The 26,460-nt window shown below is 34.4% G+C and overlaps 1 protein-coding gene across 6 annotated transcripts in view; it reads right to left on the minus strand.

Moving 5' to 3' along the window:
- The window catches only part of MARCHF1 (membrane associated ring-CH-type finger 1), an 859,722-nt gene that overhangs the window by 329,656 nt on the left and 503,606 nt on the right, over nucleotides 1-26,460 (minus strand). For 2 of the 6 annotated variants that reach the window (NM_001166373.2, NM_001394959.1), the window contains one exon: nucleotides 68-216. The exons of 3 other annotated variants lie outside the window; for them this stretch is intronic. In NM_001166373.2, the coding sequence (NP_001159845.1) occupies nucleotides 68-178 (111 nt within the window). In that variant the 5' untranslated portion in view covers nucleotides 179-216. Of the gene's footprint in view, nucleotides 1-67; nucleotides 217-7,221; nucleotides 7,297-26,460 lie in introns of those variants that run through there. One more of the 6 variants, XM_017008334.2, reaches the window with a different exon arrangement.

The following is a 26,460-nucleotide window of genomic DNA, read 5'->3' on the forward strand; positions in this document are numbered from 1 at the left end:
TCTCCACATTTCTTTAGCATTCTATTTACATATAAGCCAATTTGAGGTAAAGTAACTTTCCACTCACCAATGTGGAGGTTTGTGAGGCGTCAGCCAAATCCCCTGAGATCTCGGGTGTTCGCGTGTTGTTTGGAATTCTGTGAGGGTTACGGGCTATCGCTTCACACCAGCCCAGCATTTTCTCCTTCCTCTTATCCCTTTTCAATTTCTGAAATTCTGAAAATAATTTACATTCCCTGAAACAGGTCACTTATTTTAGCTGTGTTTTGGAAAATACATATAATCAAAATTAAATCAACAATATAACAAAACACTAATTGAGACTTTTTTAAAAAAACCAGGGGTTACAAGGAGGAAAAGAAGAATATGCTGATTATTACTAATATCCTAGAGTCACAGGACAATAGAAAGAGTATACATCTTTTCAAAGGGCCTAACATCTTTTATATCTCTCTTTGTGACACTAGTAGACAATGAGAATTCCTTGTGCCAGGTTCTAAGTGTTATTTTCAGAGATCAGCTTATAACAGTAAGTCCTTACTTCAAGAAATAAGAATAGACCTGGTTCCTGATAATATCTACATATTTCAATGACATCTAAAATTTGGCATAGCTTTTCAGCTAAATGTCCTACAGAAGCCGAATAAATCGAATACAGGCCAGTGACAAATATTACTCATTCTGGCAGTGCCATGATTTTCTCTCTTATAAAGTTCTGCCATCTGAAAAAAAATTTACTGCAAGTATAATAAATTAAGTATATGACATCTATCACCAGTACAATCTATTCAAAAGTAATAATTTAAAACAATCCTTACTATGTCATGAGTAGAAATATTCCACAACTCTTTCTAGACTTCTAGAACTTCTTATTTGGGGGAATGTTTTGTCTCTGAAAAAGTCATATCAACAATGACTTTTAACATAATGGAGAAACATTGTTTCCCCTGTAAAGTTTTACAGCCTACTTTTCCACTCCACCACCCTCAGTAATTAGAAATAGTTTATTGCAGGTCTTTAGTTAAATGCATTACACTGTCAATTAAATATCAAAAATAATGTGGAGTAATTATTTTTCACAGCATCCAAAGCAATTAGCAATCTGGTCATTTATAACATTTCAGAGATTCAAAACTGCACATTTCATAGCACTAAGAAAAGTAACATAAGAACGGTTGCACTAACAGATTTCTGAGTTATTAATCTAAATGACAAAATACTCAAGTTAAATGCATCTGAACAATGTAAATACGAAAGTGATAAAAAAGATCTTTTATTAAAAATGTCTAAGATACTCAACAGAATGGATTTCTTAATAAAACCAGCAATCTAATATGAGTGACTCATTCAATTGAGGTACAGAGAAATGATAAAGGGAACTTGAAAACAATTGTTTGAATGGGCAACAAATTATTAGTGCTTGGCCTTTCAAACACATTGCTTGAGATTTATGTAAAATTGTGATCTATTCAATACAAAATCTGCATATTTAATTTGCACTCTACAGAAAGTAAATATTTCCTCATTCCCAGTAACACTATCTTGGTTAATCATCAGATTTTAATTGCATTTCTTGAAGTGTGCTAAGAGTAAATGAAAATGAGGATCTTTATTCAAAGGCAAGGAGTGAAATGATACATAATGACCAAAACAGTTTAATCAAGTATAAACAAATGTTCTACTTCTAAATTATTTACCATTTTGTCAATTTTAACTCTATAATTAAATATCACTTTAGTACTTATAATAAAATGCTAAATTCATTCATGAATGAAGAACATAATTGTGTGGCCCACAAAATTATGACACCATCAGTATCCATTCTGAGATGTGTTTGTAAAGGTAGCCAACTTCTTATTTCCCATTTAGATTCTTTTTGATGCTGTGGTGGCAGTAGCTTTGTCATTTCTTATACTCAGTCAACATTAATCCACAAATATATTTTAGGTACTGAAGCAGGAATAGTAGTCATAAGAAGAGGATAACTTTCATTTTTGATGTGATTTGGGTTCAGTGCATCGATCTATTCTAGAGAATTTTAAAGTCCATGAACCACTGGGATCTTTCTGATCTCTAATTTTTAGATCTGTACGCTTACTTGCACAACTCTAAGGTGACTGCCTGCTCCCCCTAATCATGTCTTCCTTGAAGCTGGCCTGTGCAAATCATCTTTTCGAACTGTTTTGCTGGACAGCTGTCAACAAATCATCATGAAAAAAGCTATAAACTTTTGGCTACACCTGCTGAAGTATTATAACAAAATGCCAACTGCATTCTAGTTTTCTATTGCATATAACTGTCATTATCTTATTTTAGGATTATTAGCTAGGCTAAATAATTCAGAAAGTTAAAATACATACTTTTAATATAAATAATATGTTAATAATAATCATTGAATACTATCCATGGACATTGTACAGGCTATTTTAAGAAAGCAGACAAGAAACGAGATACATTGCTAGGGACTGCAAAGTTTATAATTTAGTTTGAACTTATTGGAATGTTTATAAAGACAGTTAAGCGTGTGAAATGAGAGAGAGCAATCTAACTACACAGCTTCACTTCAGCTTTTTATTATATTAATGTAGAATCTATGAAAACAATAAAAATGCCTGTGATAGTTGCATTTCTACATCTGGACATTCATTTCATATCCAAGAGATAAAGTTTGTTTAATGACTTCCTCTAAATAATATGCATCTTCTGAGTTGTCAGGTATGTTAGAATCACAGCATCATCTCCTGGAGAAGTCAATTTTTAAATAGCCTCCAAAGGGGCTGGGCACCATGGCTCATGCCTGTAATCCCAGCACTTTGGGAGGCCGAGGTGGGAGGATCACTTGAGCTCAGGGGTTCAAGATCAGCCTGGCCAACATGGTGAAATCCTGTCTCTACTAAAAATACAAAAAATTAGCCGGGCGTGGTGGCATGTGCCTGTAGTCTCAGCTAGTACTTAGGAGGCTGGGGCAGGAGAATTGCTTGAACCTGGGAGGTGGAGGTTGTAGTGAGCTGATGGCGCCACTGCACTCCAGCCTGGACAATAGAACAGGACTTTGTCTCGAAAAATAAATAAATAAATAAATAAATAAATAAATAAATAAATAGTCTCAAAAGAAGCAGCATGAGTATAGGTGCAAATCAGAAGGGAGAGAGAGAAAAAAAAAAAAACAAGGAAAGACCGTTGCCTTAAATCCCTGTTGGTAAGGGAGAGTTATAATTGCCCAATAACAATATGTTCTTTTCTGTTATCACAAAACACTTAAAGTTTGGATCACATTTCAAAAATATTTTCTTTTTTGCATTATCGATGCTACAATATAGATTCTAAAAATAGTTGAGATGAGTTGAGAGAACTGAAGAATTGAAATGTTGATTGCTGAGCCTCTGTAGACCAGCCTTCTTCCTACACAGGTCTGGAGTACTCATCATATTTTTAGGTGTAAGAATGTGCTGTCAGCCAGAAGGGTAGGCAAATTATAAGCATTTATAATTAACCCCAAAGCACTTTAAAATGTAAGTATCATTAGTAATATACCAAAATAGGAAAGTGGTCATTAAGCACTCATGTTAATTGCTATCTAGTCATTGAACCAAGCTAATATGAGATACAGCAATGAGCAACTTATATAATGATCACAGGAAATTGAGATTTAACTAAGCTTAATTTTTAATATGCTACTTCAAGCAGATATTTAATTTAGTAAATAGCAGCATAGTGCATTCTCTGCGAACTACATTGACAACAAATTAATATTAGGAAAAAATGCCAAGAAATTGGGTGTATTTTGTGGAGAATAATTTACTTTTAATTCAGAAAACATCTACTGAACATTTTCTTTGTTCCAGACACCGTGCTTGCAACCTTTGGTACAGAGAGAGAAAAGACCCAGAGCTTACAATTAGGAGGGGAAACAGAGAAGTAACCCAGTTTTTGTAAGACAGTGTGATAGGAGCTATGATAGCAGTATACTGAGCACTATGAAAATGTTGAGAAAAGACATTTAACTTAGCATCAGATGCAGGGGATGGCTGATTTTGGAAGACTTTCCAAAGAAAGTAACAATTACAAGTAATTTACATGAAAGTTAAAATTGTTAGTACTCTAAAGGCTTCTGTCACTACAAGCTGTGTTGCACAACTCCGGGGGGTGGGGGGGGGGGGGCATCATCCACATTGCAATCCATGTAAATGGCACTGTACTCTAAGGAATGCTTTTCATATTAAACACCATGAGCATGGTACGCCTAGAACTGTGCAACCTGGCAGCCCTGCTGGGCTGATTTCTCCAAGTGAAGCTTATTCTACTCACTTTATTTTACCCCAAGGCTAATGTAATTTAATCTTAAACGCAGAGATTTGTTTGCCACAGGAAAATGCAGTTGCCTACCTCTATTTATCTCTCTGTCTCCTCAACTATTTCCTTCCTCAAATTTGCCCATTCCATATCTTATCTAGTTGTGCAGTTATGATTAAGCTGAATGCTCCCTCTCTTTACCACATGCATAGAACTGAGAAAGTGCCCACCTTCCCTATTCTCAAATTTGAGACTTGAGAATGGTCTTGTCTAAGAATGTGAAGGGCTGCTAAACGGAAAATTTTAGAGATTTTATGTATTTATTTAGCTAATGTGTCATTAAGAAACATGTCTCAACTATTAGCCCATCACCTAAATAATAATAAAGTTCAGTTTCCATTATGAAAGGAACAACTTGCAATTAGAGAAGTGAAAATGTGTGAGCCTGTGTGTGTTCTAAGAGTTACTCACTATATATTGAGAAAACTCTAACATTCATGCCTATCACTCACATTTGCTGCTGCTGTGGACCTCTGAGTGGATGTTTTCACGTGCTCACACACAGTCCTTACACATGAATTGTTCCTAAAGACTTGGGGTTCCAATGACCGCTAAGGACTTCTTGCTTGGGTTGAATTCTGCAAGAACAGATTACTGTATATGATAAATTTATTGCTGTGTACTGCAGATGTGTCCTGGGGGTCTTTTTAATTTCTGCAAGTAGGATGTTAGGTGTCTCAAATGGAGAGAGATGTTCATAGTTGTATTCTAGGATGTGGAAGAGCAACTGAAATAGAATCCAATAAGTAATTGTTGATGATACAATGAATAAGAAGGTAAAGAGGAGTTCTTTTCTGAATAATCATGACTTGTAATGAAGGCTTAAATTCTTGGTGCTTTTAGCTTAGACTATCTGAAATATATATTTAGTGTACAGATTTCTTTTAAAAAATTTTGCCTCTACCTTGCAATTACTTTTAAAACCACTAACCTTTCTATGAATTCAGATAAGCTACCCTCACCTTGTAAGGTGGCATGATGGTGAATGAAGAAACGGCACAATACAAGGAAGTAGGGCTCTCATTCTCTCCTCTATTGAGGCAGTGCAGAGAGAAAAGCTTTTTTTTTTTTTTTTTGAAATGGAGTTCTCGTTCCCCAGGTTGAGTGCAATGGCGTGATCTTGGCTCACTGCAACCTCTGCCTCCCAGGTTCAAGCGATTCTCCTGCCTCAGCCTCCCAAGTTTCTGGGATTACAGGTGCCTGCCACCACACCCGGGTAATTTTTTGGATTTTTAGTAGAGACAGGATCTCGCCATGTTGGCCAGGCTGGTCTTGAACTCCTAACCTCAGGTGATCCACCTGCTTCGGCCTCCCAAAGTGCTGGGATTATAGGCATAAGCCACTGTGCCCGGGCGAGAAAAGCTTTTTGAAAAGAGAGTACTGGTAGCAATATGAGCCACTGTCCTGGAGATCCTCAGGAACAGGAAGGAGAGGCTTCTAGGTAGGTAACTTTGGAGAAACTATAACAATAGTGACTCTTCCAATCCTCATTATACTAAGAGATGTAAGTGACCCCAAAGAGAGAATGAAACTCCCACATAAATAGTTACACCCAGAGATGGGGCAGTTGGTGTTCTTAAGTGATGACTGAAAATCTTCCTTATGGAATTGACTGTGTTAGTGTGGAACTCAGCACACAGCTTGGGCCAATCTTGTAGACATAAAAATGAAATGTAGAGACTTCCAGTTTAAGCTATGACATGTAAAGAGTTTGGAAGTCATCACTCCCATTCTTATAAAATGAGAAAGCTGCATAAAACCTGAAAATAATTTTTCTTGGACCCATTAGAGAATTGAAGTTGCAGAACAAACCACTACCCCAAAAATATGGAGAGAGGAAAATATAGAGAATTATGGTCGATTTCAGAATACATGGAGAGAAGTTGATGGAGCCCTAACGGGGTAGAAATTCTTAAGCTGTATCTTCGATATATTATTGGAGACACAGTAGGGATTAGATTGAAAGTGAGGACTTCCAGGGGCTGCATTATTAGTGGGGACTCTACACTTTCCTGGGTTTTACTGCTAAGCAACTTATCTATATTTCATGAGAATATCTGAGAAAGATACTATGGTGGTACTAGCAGGGGAAGAGGATAAGCAAACACCGTGAAATACCCCCAAACAGTCTTACAAAAAAGACTTATTCTCCAAGGGAAAATATCTTGCAGAGGTTTACTAACCCATCAGAATAAAGGGCATTTCTTCCACTCCAGGCTTTTCTACTCTTTCTGCCCTGCCTATGGTGGGGAGGGAAGCTAAGAAAAACTTGTGAAGGCCACAGCCGAGAAATACAGGCTCACTAAAAGACTTTGATTGAATCATAAAGTTACAGAATACTTCTCCTCTACTGTAACTTACCATGATACCAACAAGGCTTAAGGTAAAACAGTGATGTATAGCTTAAAGAACTGCAAGATGCACACTCTCTTTGTGGAGGAGTACTTGGGGAGCCCAAAGGCAACAGGATAGACAAATAGTAGGGCACTACAAGAATTCTATAGCTAGAGTAAACATTAAATACAGCCCAACTTCTAGCCGGAATAACACAGAAACTCCCATTACCTCAGTTTCTACTGCCTGATGTATCATGTTTGGCTTTCTACAACAACAAAAAATTACGAAGCATGCTAGAAAGCTGGCAAAAACAGTGAAGAGATATAAAAAAAGCACTGGAACCAAATCAAATATGACACAGATAATAGGTCAAGGAATTTAAAATATCTATGATTAATATATTAAGGACTATACTGGAAAAAGGAGACAACATCAGTAACAAATGGGGAATGTTAGCCCAGAGAAGGAAGCTCTAAGAAAGTATCCACAAATGGCTAGAAACCAAAACATTGTAACAAAAATGAAGAATACCTTTGGTGGGCTCATCAGTAGTCTGGAAGTGCCCAAGAAAGGTGTCAATGAGCTTGATGACAGAGAAACTTCAGAACTGAAATGAAAAGAGAACAAAGAATGGAGAAAAGAAAACGCAGAACATCCAAGAACTGTGGTATAATTTTTAAATTTGTAACATATGTACAACCAGAATACCAGAAGAAGAACAAAGAGATAATAGAGCAGAAGAAGTGTTTTAGGACACAAGGTTAATATACAAAGTCAACTGCTTTCCTGTATACCTATATACAATCAATGCACAATTGAAATTTGAAATTAATAAATTAATACTTTTAACAGCATCAAATATTATCTAGGTATAAATATAACAATTTTACAGGATTTATATAAAAAACTGTAAAACTGATTTAAAAATCAAAGAAAATCTAAATAATAGCAGAGACATTCTGTGTTCATGGATGGGAAGACTCAACATTGTTAACATATTAATTCTTCCCAACTTGAGCTATACATTTCATACAATCTGAATAAAAATCCTAGAAAAGTATTTTATAGATAGTGATACACTTATTCTAAAGTTTACGTAGAAAGGCAAAATACCTACACTAGTCAAGGCAATACTGAAGAAAAACAAAGTTGGAGAACTCACACTACCCAGTTCCAAAATTTACTATAAAGTTACAGTAATCAAGACAGTGTGGTGTTGGAAAAAAAAGTAAATATATAAGACAATAAAACAGAGATTTTAGAAATAGACTCATGAATAGAGTCAACTCATCTTTGAAGAAGGACCAAAATCAATTCAAGAGAAAGACTAATCTTTTCAGTCAATGGTTCTGGAACAATTGGACATTCATATGCAAAAAAATGACTCAACACAGATCTTATACTTTTCACAAAAATTAACTGAAAATGAATCATAAACTTAAAGGTAAATGCAAAACTGTAAACCTCTACAAAGAAACAGAAAATGTGGGTGACCTTGGGTTTAGCAATGAGGTGGTAGATACAACGCTAAAATCATGATTCATGAAAGAAAAAATGTTGATAAGTTGGAATTTGTTAAAATTATAAACTTGTACTTTATGAAAGACTCTTAAGAGAATTAAAAGACAAGCCACAGACTGGGAAAAATACTTGCAAAATGCATATTGAGTAAAGGACTTGTATTCCAAACATACAAAGAACTCTTAAAACTCAACAATTAGAAAGTGAAGTATCTAATAAAAATAAGCAAATAATCTGAACAGACATTTCAATAAAGAAGATATACAAATGGATACCAAGAATACGAAAAGATGCTCAACATTATATGTCATTAAGGAATTGCAAATTAAAACAACGAGATGCCACTACATACCTATTAGAGTGGCTAAAATGCAACAAATTGATAATACCAAATACTGACAAGGATGCCAAGCAACAGGTATTCTTTTCCATTGCTCGTGGGAATACAAAATAGTACAGCCATCTTAGAAGACAATTTGGTCAATTTGGTAGTTTACTAATGAAGGTAAACATAATCTTATCATACAATCCAGCAACTGCACTTACAGCTATTTACCCAACTGATTTTTAAAATTTATGTCTCATGAAAACATGCACACATATGCTTATAGGAGTTTTATTCATAATCACCAAAAACTGGAAGCAACAAACATGCCCTTCAATAGGTGAATGGATAAACAAATTGTGGTACATTCATACATCATATTATTCAGTAATTAAAGGAAATTACCTATCAAACCATAAAAAGACATGAATGAATATTAAATGCATATTGCTACATTAAAAAAGCCAAACTGAAAGGTGCTACTTTCTGTATGATTCCAATTATATAGCATTCTAGAAAAGATAATGCTATAGCAGCAGTAAAATGATCAGTGGAGGGCAGTGAAACTATTTTGTATGATGCTTTAGTGGTGGATATGTCATCCTAAGCATTTGTGAAAATCTTATAGAACCTCACAGCACAAAGTGTAAACCTTAATGTATGAAAATTAAAAGACATCATTTCGAGTTCAGGGATCCCAGGATGGAAAGCAGGCTGTGAAAAATACAATCTACATATATTATGAATTATAGAACCACCTCACTGAAGATGGTGAGGGAAAATGTGCTGACCTAAGCTAAGTACCTTTAGAAAGGAGTGCAGTCTGAAAGGTTAAAGGCAAAATATATTGTACATAAGCACTGTGCTCTAGTTCATAACATGGTCCCCTATGGAGGTATGACTCTGACAGTGCTATAAATGCATATGAGAACAGAACAATTAGACAGAGGTTTGGCAGATAGTAGAAGATCGGGTTTTTAATTGTTGGAGTGCGAGGTTGCAGATAAGCAAGTGGAAAAGCATATGCCATGTAATAATGGGTCAGAGTTGGAGACATTAATATGAACTCATGTTTAGTTTAATATGGATAAATGTGATTACATAACACGTATATATGCTTAGGTTAGTATACATTCATATCTCACTGCTGTGTCACTTGACGGGTCCCGGAAACAATGATACCCTAGTGGCAACAAATATGCCGAGTGCCCCGATTTTGGTTTTTAATATTATTCTCCAGTAAAAGGAACCAGGGCTGCTTTAAAAAATGGCTGATTCTGGGGCTAGGGTAGGAAAAATACAAGATGAGCCTGGAGAAACTTGTAGCGCTAGAAAGTAAGGAAATGCTTAAAAACAAGGCAAAACAAGACACAAACCAAACACAATTTGGGGCATATATTAAAGAGACACAGTAGCCAAACAAAATAGCTCCACAATGACCAAAGCTGACACAATTTGAGCAACAAAATAAAGTAGTAACAGATTATGACCCAAAGTATAACATAAACACCCACAAGTCTATACTGATATAATGAATGATTGAATAAAGAAATAAATGGAGGAGAAAGACAGTCTCTTGTGCAGAACTGTCATTTCTCTGCTCAAAAGTGGAGGAGAAACATAACCTCCCACACCATTGTGAACTGTACATAGAAACTGCCTTCCGAAGAGTACAATATGAAAAGACAGAAAAATAACTTTATAGTAGAGAAACCTGAAAAACATACCTTAGCCAGGTAATCAAAATGATGTATTGACTTCAGATGTGTTGGAAATGGTACTTTACCTGAACGATTTCCCTCTTAAAAACACATAACTCCAGTCTAATCATCAGAAAAAAAAAATCAGAACAATCTCAATTGAGGAACACTCTACAACAAACCTGATCAATAATCTTCAAAACTGTCACGGACATGAAAAGCAAGGAAAGTCTAAGAAACTGTTACAGCTAAGTGGAACCCAAGGAGACCCGAAAACTAAATGTAATGCAGCCTGCATGAGATGCTGCTAAAAAATTGGATAAAATGAAAAAAATACGAATGAAGTTTGCACTTTGGTTAATAATAACATATTAATATTGATTCACTAATTGTAATAAATATGTACCCTATCACAGTAAGATGTTAATAATAGGAGAAATGGGGTGTAGAGTATATGGGAACTCCTTGCAATAGGTTTGCAGTTTTCTAAAATTTAAAAAATATTATTTAAAAAATGTGAATTATATTTTCAGGTCGGTGAAAACTACATCTTATTTCAATATACAGTTCTAAGCCATAACCTGTAGAAAAGTTTGTGTGTCCAAAGGCTAATTAATGATTTAATAACACTAACAAATTGTTCCAAATTCTATGGTTTAGGCATTTATTGTAAGGAAAGATAACAGATAAAGTTAGAAATTTTGAGTGGAGTTATTTTTTACCTTCTTAAGAAAAATAACTATGGGAGACTGGAAGAAAAACATATATCACTGATTTAGGACTAAACAGTGAAATAAAAGTTGTTTCATTTTTCAAAAGTACTCACCTCTGGACTTAAAATAAGCCAGGTTCCACTCCCGTCTCTCTTTAAATAAGGGAATTTGGTATGAAACTAAAATTCACAGAATTTAAAGCAATGCCTTAAGAATATGTTTTGCTATGTGTATCAGACATACACACTTTCTCAAGCTTCTGTTTCTCAAAGGCATGAAACTATGAGTGTATAAGAAGGGTAAAGAAAAGGAAGCTTGGGTTTCTTGAGCAGCCCTTTATGAACACACTTAAAGTGTCTGAGTAAAATATGGGTTTACAGCTTTCTCCAGTGTGAAACATCTTTTGAATATAATAAGTTTAGCAAGGATACTTGACACAACAGTAAGTTTATTTTTTCACATAGATTTATTAAGAAACTGTATTGCCATGTGGATTTAAGTTCTGATTGTAATAACTTTGTAATCCAACCCAGGGATTTATGGCCTGCATCTTAAAAGCCATTGGAATGATTAGATATTTTGCATAAACATTTCTAAAATACAGTTTTTACTAGCCACATGCAGCCTGAAAAAAATGGCTTCCAGGAAGATCAGTTTTATTTCTGTCATACTCTTTGAGTTGATTTCAAGAAAATTGCATCACTCATTACCTATAAAGTGTGTATGAAAGACCTATGGCTTTATAACAGATAGGCATGAGTGAATATTTAATATAAATATTTTACATACATTTTATTATTTCACTTAAAAGCACAACAGCTGGGGTGGGGGTGTTTTATTATTTAATATAATATAAAATCTAAATAGTTAACATGTGAAAATGTAACTAAATACTTGCCTGAATGTCTAGGTTTATTTTGGGGATTTTTATCATTTATATGAATATAGTTTTTTTCTGATAAATTTTGCAAAACCCTAAAGATTAAAAAAAGTCATCTACAATTTTTCCTTCTGTCTCTGCCCTTATTAAGGTAATATGGATCTCCATTTTTTTCCTTTCCCATAGTAACAGCTGAAATTTCTACTAAATTTCTCAGAACCAAAGAGATATTTTTATCTTTTGACACTGTAACTCTTCTAAAAGAGTTATATATTTTCTTCTTGACTTTGGTCTCTAGGGAACTCAGAAATCAATTAACAACATCATTTAATTTTTTTTAATGTCTCTAGTATTTATGTTTACTTACTTAGTGTAATCTTGAGCATGTTTTAATGCCTGAACATCATTAGCCATTGGTATTCAACTTTTTTACCTATTTTTAACTATTCCAAAAATCTATATAGTTCTCTCAAAATTATTTTGCAAATTATAAAAACTACACTCAGATAAATATATTTCTAAACTGTATTATATACCAAGAGTCAAAGAATTCTTTTTTAGGTAAAACAGTAATTTATTTCAGGTTTCAAAATATACATGTAGAATGAAAATAGAGAAAAAATAGCATACAAGTTGGGAAAAGAGACTATATGGAATTACGTGTTCTGATTATAAAGCTGTAGTTATATATATATATATAATAGGACTGTAGTAGTTTATATAATATATATAATAATATATTATGAATTATATATTATTCAAATATCAATTATACAAAAGTAGGTAAGTCAATACATGTCTAGGTAACCGTTTACCCAGAGGTAGTCAAACTAAAAGTTAAGGGCAAAATTCTCACCTTCACTTTAAATACTAGCCAGAAGCCCAGAGGTCCCCATGGCCATACTCACTTCTAACCAGCTGGCTGTAAAATTGGGGTTCCCACAGCACTGAGTTTTAATAATTCACTTAGACCAATTCATAGAACTCAGGAAAGCACAGTACTTTAAATTACAGTTTTATTATAGCAAAAGGAATCAAGTTAGAACTACCCAAAGAAAAGACATAAGGAGAAGTCTAGAAGCCTTTCAAAAGTGAAACTACTACAGACCTTGAGGACATGTTACTCTCCCAACAATGAGGTATCACAATGACCAAAAAGTACTGCCAGCCAGGGAAGCTCACCTGAGTTTTGGTGCCTATATTTTTATTGGTGTCTTACCTAGACATGATTGAATCATCACTCACATGACTCAGTCTCCAGGCCCCCTAAATTGCCTGGAGATTAGGGTGATATCACATGACTCAAATTTCTAATCACATGGTTAGTCTTTCTGGCACGGCTAGACTTTATCCTAAGTCATCTCATTAGTGTAAACCATCTAGGGACTCGCCATGAGTCACCTCATAAGCATAAACTATCAGTTGTGGTCTGAGACGCCCAACATAAAATCCCTCTCTTCCTTCTTCATCCATTTTTTAAACTATGATATTTACATAAAGTGATGACAAAAAGAGATAAAGTACTAATGTATTATCAGTTATTCTTGCCATCTAATTTCTTTGTTAGATAACTGGTGATAATGACAATAAATATAAATTTGGCAACACTAAATATACGGAGGCCTATCTGTGGATTTCCTTCCATATATGAAGTTAATTGGACACACATATCCATAATATAGTAGAATTTACTTATTTTAATAATAAACTTATTATATATAATCTAATTAGAATTAATTCAAATGGTAGAAATATAATGAATATGCCATTGTATACTCGGTCCCCTTTCTTCAGGGACACTTTACCTGAAAAATGACTCAGATACTGACTACCAAGGCTTTCTTTTTTTGCAGTAGGCTAATTTGCCACACACTATTCTTTGCCATTCCCAGAAATTACTTTGTTCAAATTCCAAGAATATTAATATAGGTATTCACTGGTATCTAAGTTTAAAATATCACAATTTAATTGATTATAAACAAACATCCAAAATTCAAAGTGATAATAGCTATATCAACTTTCATCAATTTCCTTTTTTTTTTTTTTTTTCCTGAGAAGCTTATTCTTCGGGTGAGTAGTCTCCTCTTCTGTATTCATTTCCCTGTTATTTCTCTCCCTGCCTCATACTCTCACACTTGTGGACATGCTATCTACACTAGAATACTTCATCAGTAGCTCAGCAATATTTTGCCTGGTTACTTACCTGTTTCCCCAATTATCTGAACTTGGTAGTTTGTTTATTCCATCACCAGAAGGCCTTTTGCATTGCATTACTATTAGTTGTTAATTTTCTGCCTCACCACCTGCTCTGAGAGTACTCCAAGAAATGGATGGGTGCAATTTCAAATGGGGCTTTTATATCTCCAGGACCAAGAACAGATCATAGCACTCAATAATGTTCAACATTCAAATATCAAATATCAATATCAAAATAGGAAAAATAGTATCAAAATAAAAATTTTGTCATAAATTAATGAGAAAAATTTATGACCCAATGATGAATACTATTTTGCTGTCTACATGAAAAATACATAAGAATACTATAAAATATAAATTAAAAGGAAAATCATACAGAGAGAAGTTCATTTGTGAGGATATGACAAAAACTGCAAATCTCTTTAAATACAAACAAAATGTTGGCACCAAACTAGTAAATATAAGATATATTGTGGAAAATATTCAACAGTTGATTCTAAAAGAGAAAAATAAAACATAATTTGAATACATCAAACATTAGGAGCTTTAAAAGAGTTCTAATTTCACTGTGCAATTTCATCATTTCACAAATGTATGTATTTGTGTACATATATCTATATATACCCATACATACAAATGTGTACTTTGGAGCCGATCCCATGAGACCTAAATTTGGATATGTGAATAGTAACTTTTAAAACAGCATCTGTGAAGATCCATCTGAAGATAAGTTTGACATTTAAAATATATTCTGTTTCACTGTGGAGACAAAAGTTGAACTGGTGATTTAAAAAAAAATGTTTTTTGACACGATAAAATAAAAAGAGACTTTGCTGGACATTATATCATTCCAAAGACTGCCTGGGTGGGGACAAGCAAGTAGTGTCCAACTTCAGGAATTTTTTTTTCAAAAAAGATGAATAAGGCCATGTGAAATAGGCAGGAAGCTATAACATGACACATGTTTTCCTGCAATATTCCTGATGGCACTATTTTCACTAATATTTAATAGACCATTTACAATGTGTCTAACAGTCTCTTTAAATTTAATTCATAATACACATAAAACGCATAAACCCTCAAACAATAGCCTAGAATAAGTAAGGTTCTACTAGACATGCTCTCCCCCAAAAACCCCCCAAAAAAAGATCTCTAGAGAAGCTAGAAAAAGCCAGGAATGCATGTGTAGTTCAAAGACTACGTGAGTGAGTTTGGTAACATTTAGGTGTCATGCTTTATTTCCCCAAGCATAATCTAGTTCTGTGATAACTTGGACATTTACGCAAGCTTAACTATGGCTTCTGAGAAGCTAGGTATAAACAGAAGGCTGTTCTTTAGGAAATTTGTCACAGAGATGCTCCATGACCTTTGGCAGTGGTAAATCCCAATAACAAGGGCAATTCAACAGATTTGCTCATATGATGAGCAGACTCAATTTTGTACATCCAGTGGGCTGCATAAATGAAGTCCTGACCTGAGAGACTGCAATTCCAGAACAGGTGTAAAATCTGCCTCAGAGCCATTAATGTCTTGCTTTTTTTGACCCCAGAATTCACAATCAAATAAAAACACAAATTATATGTTGCTACTGTTGAAAATTCTTTCTATATTATCTGTCAGACAACCCAATGGAAATAGAAAAATGCTGATACAAGAGAACCTTTCCAAGCAGTTTACCCTTTAAAGGACATTATAAAAGTCTACTTTTTTTAAGACTAGAAAGCACTAAGGCAATTAAATAATATTAAACCAATGACTATTCTATATTACATGGAGTTTATAGCTATATTTATGAATCTCCTCACAACTTAGGTGAAATTTATATAATAGTTTGACCACATTTCATACTCCTAAAAATGGACACTCTCTTGTCGTTAATATATTGTCCATGACCCTGTGTGCATCAAAATCTCAAGCTTATATCTGAGTCAACATGTGAGTGGATTGGTGGAAATAATATTGAAGATTGGCATCTTTCAAAATAGTGAACTCTCCTGAGACTGCCTTTGAATATGAGAGAAATATAAAGCCTAAGAAATGAACATAGTTAAATATTGGTCTTGTTCTAAAAATCTGACACTCAATTTAATTACGAAGTCAAAACTCCAATATGTAACACTTCACATAGTTTAATGGCTGATTTTCTGGCTAAACAGGATTTCTGTGTACTTCAAGTATAATAATGTAAAGGAAAAAAATGACTCATAATAGAAAAATTATTTTTCAATTCTCTACATTCAATTTTTAAAAATTTTCTGTATTACATTTAAAGTGTCTAATTGCTCTAAATTACTCTCATTAAGATGTGTCTGAAAAATATTTTCCATTTCAAAAGGTTTATCTTTCAAACTGACCCCATTTTTCCATTACTCTTGTTTTTGTCCAAATACATTTAAGATATGGACAAATAAGCGGAAATATATAGCATTTCTGCAGAATATACAAGTTTTCTGTTTGGTTTGTTGGCATATTATGAATTATGTTTTATATACCACAGAAAAGACACATTATTTAAAATTAATATATATAAAAAAGATTCTGGAGTGCACATTTCTTTCCTAATTGCTATCACATTTACCTGACGTGATGGTAAAGCAAAGTGGGATGAATTCAGGGAAACTGTCAGTCTAGAGATGCCGCTTTTTCTGTTGTAGCTTAGAGAAAGATTAGGATGGCTTAAAAAAGAATAAAATCCTGTCATTCGCAAAAAAATGGATGAGCCTGGAGGACATTATGTTAAGTGAAATAAGCCAGCACGGAAAGACAAATACCACATGTTCTCACTCATATGTGAAAGTTAAAAAAGTTGATCTCATAGAAAGAGAGAGTAGAATAGTGGTTGCCAGAGGCAGGGAAGTGTGGAGGGAAGAGCATTGCCAGAAGTTGGTTAATGAATACAAAATTACAGCTAGATTAAGGAATCAGTTTTTGTGTTCTATAGCACTATAGGGTGACTATAATTAACAATAATTTATCGTATATTTTCAAATAGCTATAAAGAACAAATTTTGTATGTTCCCAACAGCAAGAAATGATAAATATTTGAGGTGATGAATATAATAATTACCCTGATTTATTATACATTGTATACAGGTATCAAAATATCATTCTGTACACCATTAATATGTACAATCATTATGTGTCAAATAAAAATATTAATAAAAGCAAAACTAAGATAAAAATAGCTAGAAACCAAGCAAAGTAGTAAATAAAACATACATCATCATCTTTCATATGTGAGAGACAGAGAAGGTATTTTTCTTTTGCGTTATGATGTGACACTCATTCACAATCATATCTGAAGAGTCAGCACAAAACAGCATTGCTTTTTACATGCTCTGGCACAGTTAGGGTGTTTAATGTAAGGTGTAATTGGGGAAACAACCCAATAGTCTCAGTATAGTACAACTCTGAGATTAACATTTACCTTGTGTTATGCCTAATACCATCTTTACCAATATCAAAACTCTACTTACTAAGTACCCCCCCACTAAGGGTGCTGTGTGGGGTTCACTCAGAGAACTGTATATACAAGTCTTTGCCTGCTAGAGAATTTCATAATAAAAAGCATAGAAAAGTGAAAGGTAGAATATAAGACAGAATTCACTTGCAGAAACACCTAAAATCTTAAAATAAATACATCGCATTTTATTATGTTAAAATATATGTATATGACTCTATGATACCAGACGTAAAAAGCAATGGTTACAGGATGTGTATTTGATAACTGTATTTATATCATATGAAAATCATATGCTTATTATTTTATTATGTAATTATATGCCTATTATATTAGGCAATTATGAAGATTAAAATACACCTTCATTTGTTAATATTTGATCCCAGGGATTCCTAGTTAACGAGTATTCCAAAATCAAATGCCAAGAAAATTTGTTTTAGATTTTTTATTACAATTAATAATTTCATGACCTATAATATCCAAAACAATTGAGTTTTATTTGTCAGTGAAAGATATTTTATACTGGAGTTTGTTATTAAGTTAGTCAAGATGTAGCTTCAAGTATTTAAATTGAAGAAGCTTAAGAGAAAAAAATTAAAACTACTAATACAATAAATCAACCAGTAGATGAAGTTGAATATTTTACTAGACACAGTTAGTGGAACTAAATTCTAAGTATGTGAGTATAAGTGACATTTAATTCTAATTCAGAATAACCAGAGGTAGCCTGCATTGCATTGGCCAGCCCTTTTGTCTATGTAATGTGTATGTGTTCTGGGGCTATCTGAGCATGTGTGTCACCTTGAAGTGAAACTAAGTAGATTGCCTGCCCAAAGGGAAGGCAAAGACAACACTTGAATAGGACGGAATGCCAAAGAACACTTAATTTTTTCATTTAAATCTACACAGTGAACCTTTGAAAAATGGTCAATCTGTACCCACAAAAGAAGATGAAAGTAGATTCTTTGGAGAGTTGAAGCTAAAAGCTCTCAGCAAAGAATGGTCTCATGTGAGAAATTTGAAAATCATGCTTATCTTTTCTACAATAAATAAGTGGTGTGGTAGTAACTTCTTTTGTTTTGGAAGAGATTATTTTGTAGAAGTGCTGTATCACTAAGTAAAAGATAAACAGGGTCAACTATGAGTTACCTGCATTCAAAGAGAAGTGTTTTTACCAAACCAAAAATTCGTGTTTTACTTTCAAGGTATTCTATGTCAGAATACTAGTGTATGTGCATGTGTATGTGTGTGCGTGTGTGTATGTGTATAGTCATGTATTGTGATATTTTGACATTTATTTAAAGATAATAAAAATGATGAAGTCGGCCGGGCGCGGTGGCTCACGCCTGTAATCCCAGCACTTTGGGAGGCAGAGGCGGGCGGATCATGAGGTCAGGAAATCGAGACCATCCTGGCTAACACAGTGAAACCCCGCCTCTACTAAAAATACAAAAAATTAGCCGGGCGTGGTGGCGGGCGCCTGTAGTCCCAGCTACTCGGGAGGCTGAGGCAGGAGAATGGCGTGAACCCTGGAGGCGGAGCTTGCAGTGAGCCGAGATCGCGCCACTGCACTCCAGCCTGGGCGACAGAGCGAGACTCCGTCTCAAAAAAAAAACAAACAAACAAACAAAAAAAAACAAACAAACAAACAAAAAAAATGATGAAGTCATAGTTTTGTTACAAACTGGAAAAATAATCAATTTCTTAAGGTTTTTCTTCAGCTAATGAACAATCTCTCTCTTTCCATTAGACTGGTAAAACTGGAGCCTAAGTAGTTTCCCTTTAAGCTTCTGCTCTAGCTAGTTTACACCTCAGTGTACTGGCACTGTTGATTAGGCTGTGGGGACAGAGGACCAAGTTTAAGTATTCAAAATGGAAAGTCTTTTAGAAATTGTACTGGTTCTCAATTATCTGCCACTCCAGACTTCCTTAGCCCCTGAACCTTGGCCATTTTCTCTCATCAGAGCCCTCTGGTTTCCCCTGCTGTTGCCTCATTTCCTAATGCCTCTGTTTATCTCAGCCTCATTTAAGAGTCAGGCTTTTGACAGAGCTGGACTCTGCATGGCATCCACAAGGTTCCTGATGGTGGGAGATGCAGCCGCTCAGACAGCCCTGTGTTACCTGATGGTAAATTTACAGGAGCTCTGGCTTCCCCAGCATCTGAGTTTAGTGGCTTGGTTACACAATCAAGAAGTGTGTGGAGATTAATGCCCAGTGTGGAAAACTAAGATCAGTGAGAGACAGAAAATAAAAAAACAGTATGACAAAAAAATTCCTTTCCCTTCCTTCCTGTTCTTGGACTGTTCTGAGGCATAGCAGCTCTATATGTTCTCCCTGGACACTTCCTTTTTGTCCAAGCCAACTGGTCCTGTCTTCTTGTGAAGTTGTAGGCAGAAAGGTAATGCACCGCTTTTATGCGTTTACCCTCATGTGTGCTACTCTGGAATCGTACCCCTAAGAAAATGTTGGCATGTAGGCCTTGCCTCAGCCTTATGTTCTATAGGCTAGCTGGGTTAGACAGTAACGAAACCCTAATATTAGTTCAACTCTTATTTTTTAAAGAATTTAAAAGAATTAAATTTAATTTAATAAGCATTCTCCTCTAAGTCTAAGATATTGGAAGGCTGTAAACATAAATATAGTCTAGGCTGAATTATCATAGAGGTATTAGTCTAGCAAAAGAGATAGAGGCACTAAAGCAATAGTTACCAACCGGGATGATATCCCAAATATTTAACAGTCAGTGGGGCATGGGAACTCACAAACTGCAACAGATATTAGCCTTTAAGTTGTTGGATTATTAGAGATGTTTGGGCAGCCACGTGGCGGAAGTACACTCAGAAGTTTAAGGTCTGTGATAATTTGTCAACTGGAGAAGAACTGGAATATATTACCTGTAAAATCAAGTTTGGTAGTTCCAGCATGTAGCCGTTCAATATCAGCTCTACACACCAAATACTGTAAGACCCAAAGAGGCAGGAACAAAGGGATACCGAAGTGACTGAGATTTGTATTAGTGGGGAACAAAGTTAGAATATTATATTATGGGTTCCTCCCACACTTGATTTTTTTTTAAAGTCTACTTAGATAGCCTGCTAGCTATCAAGGTAACATATTTTCGTAGCAAGAGAAAATCAAGCTTAAGAATTAAATCAACATTATTCATATAAAAATTGTGTGGCTACAGGCATATACCAGACATGAACTCATGCTCAGAAAATATTCAGTGACAAATGTGTTATTTCATAAAATTATCATTGGAAATTTTGTTCATTATGGGCCGAGCTATATTTTCTGTGCAATTTTATATCTCTACGGTACTTAAGCTTAGTTTGTAAAAGTTTATGAAAAATGATATATTTTTAGACAAATAGAAGCACTGAGTTGCTAAAATGCCCAGAAAACTTCTGGACTTTACTTACTTGCCTTTGGGATATTTTGTCCTCTTTTAGGCAAAGGTTGGTACCTGTTTCCTTGGAAATAAATGAAAATTTATAGGAAAAAAACACATTTTCCACACACTGTCACTCTGAGGTTTGCTGTTCAGCCACAAAGACTTGAGTACTTTTTATATGCAATGAAATTTCTGAATCTCTGAAAATTTTGACTTCATGTTTATAAAATATCTCTATAATTCCCTATTTTCTTTAATTCTGGTCAGTTAAGGATAATTTATGATTGTGGAGTTAGCTCAATTTTTCATTTGCCTTAGCTTGACACACACGTTGAATTTTAGTTTGATGTCTGCATTTCTTTAAACACATCAGTAATGCTTTTTTGAAAAAAAAAATTCCCCAATTTATCTTCCCTTAAGTGTGTTCAGATAGTTTTGTGACCTAAGCAAGTGATTCCCTGGGAGGTCCGTGATTTTTTGATTTTTAAAAACTCTTTAATTCCAAAAGGTCATCGATGTGAAAAGGCAACTCAGCAAGTCTCAGCAGTAAAATATACTAAATCTTAATAGTCTGTCACAATTTCTTTCAGAAATAACCTTAAATTGGTGATGATTAAAATCTCAATATGAAAGAAAATCCACTCCCTTAATTACATTCCCTGCCACAACATGCTATGAGAACAACTCACAAATTCCACAACTTGCCCTATCTTGCTCGGTGACAGAATGGAAAGCGGTCTCATGAACTTTCTCTTCTGCTTTGCATAAAAGGTTGGAATCTTTATTATTTCCCTTTATCATTGGCACTAATGTATGAAAAGTGAATCAATTTTTCCATGTTTAAACCAAACTATACAAAATATTTACTGATGTGAACTGCCTAATTCGTATTTTGCAAATTGTTAAGACTCTCATGCAACAATACAACGAGGTCAGGTTAATTCCATTTGTTCAATACACAGTTTGAAGAAAATTGCTCTGGTTAGAGAAGAATGATTAACTGATTTTGATCAGGGGTACCAAAGAGAGGCAATTTAGCAAACCTTGGAAGGCTGAGTAATAAATTGATACTTTTAAAATGGAAGAAAGTAGATTTAAGGCAGAGAGAATGAGAGAACTAGAGAACACAGAACCATAAGGACATAAGGACATATATATTGAAGCGATAAAGGAAAGTAAATATTAGAGTTGGAATAAAAAACCTTTATTTGATTTGTAGACACAATCTCTTTATTTTAAAAATAAATATTCACAGAAATTATATCATGACAAACCCTAGACAGTAAAAATTGATATTTGAATTCTGCATTTTAAAATGTAGCCTTAACCGTGTCACCACATTCAGACTTTATTTTCAATAGCCAGCTCAACTATATCCACCTCAATATACTGCACAACAAATTGTAGAATTACTATGTCTAAGATACAACTTTTCTTCAGAATTTGTTCTGTCATCTAAAACTTCCATTTATTCTTTAGACCTCCCATCCCCTCGGATTCCTAAAATAGAGACTTGGATATCATTCAGTTGATGTCTTCCTAATATTTCTAGTGAGCCACCAGATTATAAAGATTGACTTCAGAATGTGTCTCAAATCCTGTTTCTTCCCTCCAACTACTTCCACTACTGACTTAATTCAGTCTTCAGCTCTAATTTGGATTATTAAAACAACTGCCTGTTTTCCCTATAAAGTATGTAGAATGTGACATGCCACTAAATTTTCCATACAAATAATGCTCACAGGGCAGTTTAAAGTATTCTTATGAAACAGGATCAAGGTAAGGCACACAGTTACAAATTTGGTAGGCATCAGGATAGAAGCAATATTAGAGATCATGGAAATAGATGGTATTGCCAAAATAAGGAGGTTGAAAAAGGAAAAAGGGTATTGAAATAACAAAACGAAGCAATGTCTTTTGCTTTTTGACAGTCTACTGCTGATGATTTTCTACAATCTTGCATGTGCGTGTAGAATACATTTTTATTAATTTACTAGGTAAGTCAGGAAATTAACTAGCCCAATTCTCCAAATAACCATAAGAAGAAATATTGGTAGTTGAGAAGGCTATGTAGAGAAAATGTTAAGCTAATAATAATGATAATTAATAGGCCATAACGAAAAAGATAACCTTATGGATTCAATCATAAATGTAATTATATTACAACATTATTTAATTAGTCCTAATTTTTGGAAATTTTAGAAAGTAGAAAGTAGTCCCCAAATCTTATATCTCCACAGGTTTCTGAATAATAGCTATTATCCACACTTAAGTATATGGAAACCGTGTTCAGAACTGTACTGCATAAATGATAATGACAGCATTATTTGTAAGCTTCTTTGATCTGTTATCACTTGTGATATCAAGATCATTATTTTCATCCCTACTGAAAAGTTCTTGATTAAATGTCTAAGTGACAGAGGTATCAGTGATTTAATCTCAATATGTTCACCATTTATCTTTTTCTTTGTACATGTCCAGGGTTTAGTCTTCTTCTCTGTTTTCAACAATGTTTCTCAACCCTCATTGCACATCAGAATTAACTGAAGAGCTCTGAAAAAATTACCACTGCCTCGGTCCCACCCTTGACATTTTTATCCAATTAGTTTGCACTTGGGTGTGGGCACTGTTTTTTTTTTTTTTTCTAATGAACAGAAAGATAGGATTGAGAATCACTGGTCTACACTTTCTCCCTGTCTGAAAAATCACAGATACTCTCAAATTTTATCACCCTAATCTCTTTACTTTCCTTATCTATAGATTAATATCTCCAAATCCCCATTCAACATCTCTACTTACCATGTCCAAAAATAAACTCTTGACCTTTCTTCTCTGCATCTTGCTTCTCCCCAATTTACTACTCTCCTGCTTACATGCAAAATATGTAACAACTTGGGCACGTCTCACCTTCACAGCTACCATCTTGGATCTCCTCACCCATACTCTGGTCCTCATACAGTATATTTTTCACAGAGTGGTCACAAAGTCTTTTTAAAAGTGTAAATCGAGTAATGTCTGCTGAACACCCTCCAATGACTTGGTTACACTCAGAATGAAGCCAGATCTCTTCCCATGGCCTTTATGTGGGGGTGAAAGCATGCAAACATGGAAGTGAAAGCAGAGGATAGAGAGAGGGGAAAACAAACACACGCTTTCAAACATGGATTCGTGAGACGTTTCTCAAGCTACCTGAAGGTTTTCTTTCCTATGTTTCTCACTTTCCCCTTCCAGCCACTTTGTCAGGAAACAAGAAGCCCTCTGCTCCCTTGACTTGCACTGCTTCTTCTTAACTTCCTTTGGAAGAATTATTCCAAGGGCCTTGTAGTTACACACACTTTTGACAGACACTTTCCGAATACCAGCTTCTCTATAACACTAGCTTTTTTAGTCTGGTGCGCAGCCAAAAAGGGTAGGTAAGTAGCAGTGGAGATAAGCAACAGGAGAACATGGCTTTGCTATGATAAAAAGGATATTTGCTCATGCATATGAATCTGTCATTGTTCTGATTTTGATCTGTGCTTAGACAGTCAGTAGACTGAATCTGTGCCCAGCTAGTCCATCAAAGAGGTATTATTGCTTTTGGGTTGTCTGGGTTTTAGGGATTCGAAAGACTCTGGAAGAAGTGCAGCATCTTGTCCTGCCAGAAAGGCTTTTCTAACTCAGGATTTGGGGAACATTCAGTTCCTTTCCAGATTTAACCCTGACTCATCTCTTTGTTCTTTTGGAATTTAGGCTAAAACTCAGTGCATGACCTTAAATCCAGCAGCACTAGTGTATGTGAATCCATTTCTCTCTTGGATGGTGAGAAGGAATGTAGGGGACTCTCCCTTAACCTAGTTGAAGGACTCTTTCCCTAAGCCACCAAAATAAACCATCTTCAGTAGTTTGTGGTTCACGTAGAATTAAAAACTAAATTATGGGTACCATTATCTGTGTATCATCCAAAGTCAGTTTTTTTGTACCAGCAATTACAGTGTAATTATTTTGTACCAGCAATTGCAGAGTAATTAGGTAAGTTTATTCTGAATGCTACCTGGAGGCCCCTTCTCCACCCATGAAATGTTCAGGACTAGGCCTGGATATGACTGTGAGTAGTTTCATTTGTGAAGCACTGAGTAATACAGAGACATCTAAAATATCTGTCCTCTGAGAAATTACAACTAGCAAAGGGCAACCAGCTCCCACAGCAAAACAATATTAAGTATTGAATCATTAATTAAATCATGAACAGTAAAGAATGTAAGATTTCTTGAATTTTAGAAGGAAAACTCATCTTTAAGGCAATCGTGAAAGAGACACTATGAAGACAAATGTTTCTTAAGATTTTGTGTAACTTGCATACATTGGAAAAGGGTCCTAGAGATTGCCTATTGAGGGGAAGCATGCAGTGTCCTGGGGAACAAACTGGGGCAACTGAGGCAATAAGAGGGAATTCCTGGGTTTGAGGGTGCTCAGAACATCAGCATGGCTGCCAACTAGTATAGCTGTCCCTAGTAATACAAGCTAATTATATATAACATTTGTATAACTACAGCTTTCATGGCAAAATTACTTATTTATAAAAAAGTGAAAACAATCTAAACATCCTTCATGGGATAAAAAATAAATCAATTTTACATTATAAACAAAGAAGGAGGCCTCTATGTACTAATCTGGAAAGGTGCTCATGATATATTCTTTAAGGAGAAAGGCAAATTCCAAAGGCTTATATGTAAAGTATCATTTGCTACAGTGAAAATAGTTTGTGTATGTGTGCACGTGCTTGTGTGTTACATACACACTAATGCAAATATCTGAAAAGTGTTATATCAAACTGCAAACGATAATTACTAGGAAAGTGGACTATGGAAGGGGGTAAGATTACTGAAAAAAAGTCACATTTTACTTTACATATATGTTGTTTAAATTTATACAATGAATATTTGTGCTTTGATAATTCAAAAATCATTTGTTAAAGAAAGGATTTAGAGGCGTGTGTGTGTGTGTGTGTGTGTGTGTGTGTAGCTTTTATAATCCAAAGTTAAGGGTAAAAGGCAATGTAACTTGCATACATTGAAAGATTTAATATGGGAGCTATTTAGAAATTTTGCTTTTCTTTAGGTTCCAATTCATGATACCTAAGGTAACATCTAATTAGCAAGCATTTGTAACAGCTGCCCATGATGGCTAAGAAAAAGTTTTGCTATATTCACAAATTTATAAATTATACAAGTATATGATATTTATAAATTTAACAAATTTCCATATGATATAAGCATTTCCTATGTAAAATTTTATTAACTAAATACTTTCAAAAATCCATATTCTTACTCTTAAATTTACATACATATGCAGAGAGAGAGAGAGAGAGGTTGAGATATAACATGCATGAACCCTAATGCTGATCAATACATTAGCAACCAGATATAGAATTAAAAATACTTTTATTTTTATAAAATTATTTTATGATATTTAAATAACTTTTCAGAAAATAATTTTTAAATGTTATTCTTAAAATAATTTTCCTTTCAAATTTTGATATTCAAGTATAATTTATAATTGCCTTCTAATTATAAATTTGAATATTTAGAAAAATAACTTT

Source organism: Homo sapiens, chromosome 4 (genome assembly GCF_000001405.40).
Source record: "Homo sapiens chromosome 4, GRCh38.p14 Primary Assembly".
Classification (NCBI taxonomy): domain Eukaryota; kingdom Metazoa; phylum Chordata; class Mammalia; order Primates; family Hominidae; genus Homo; species Homo sapiens.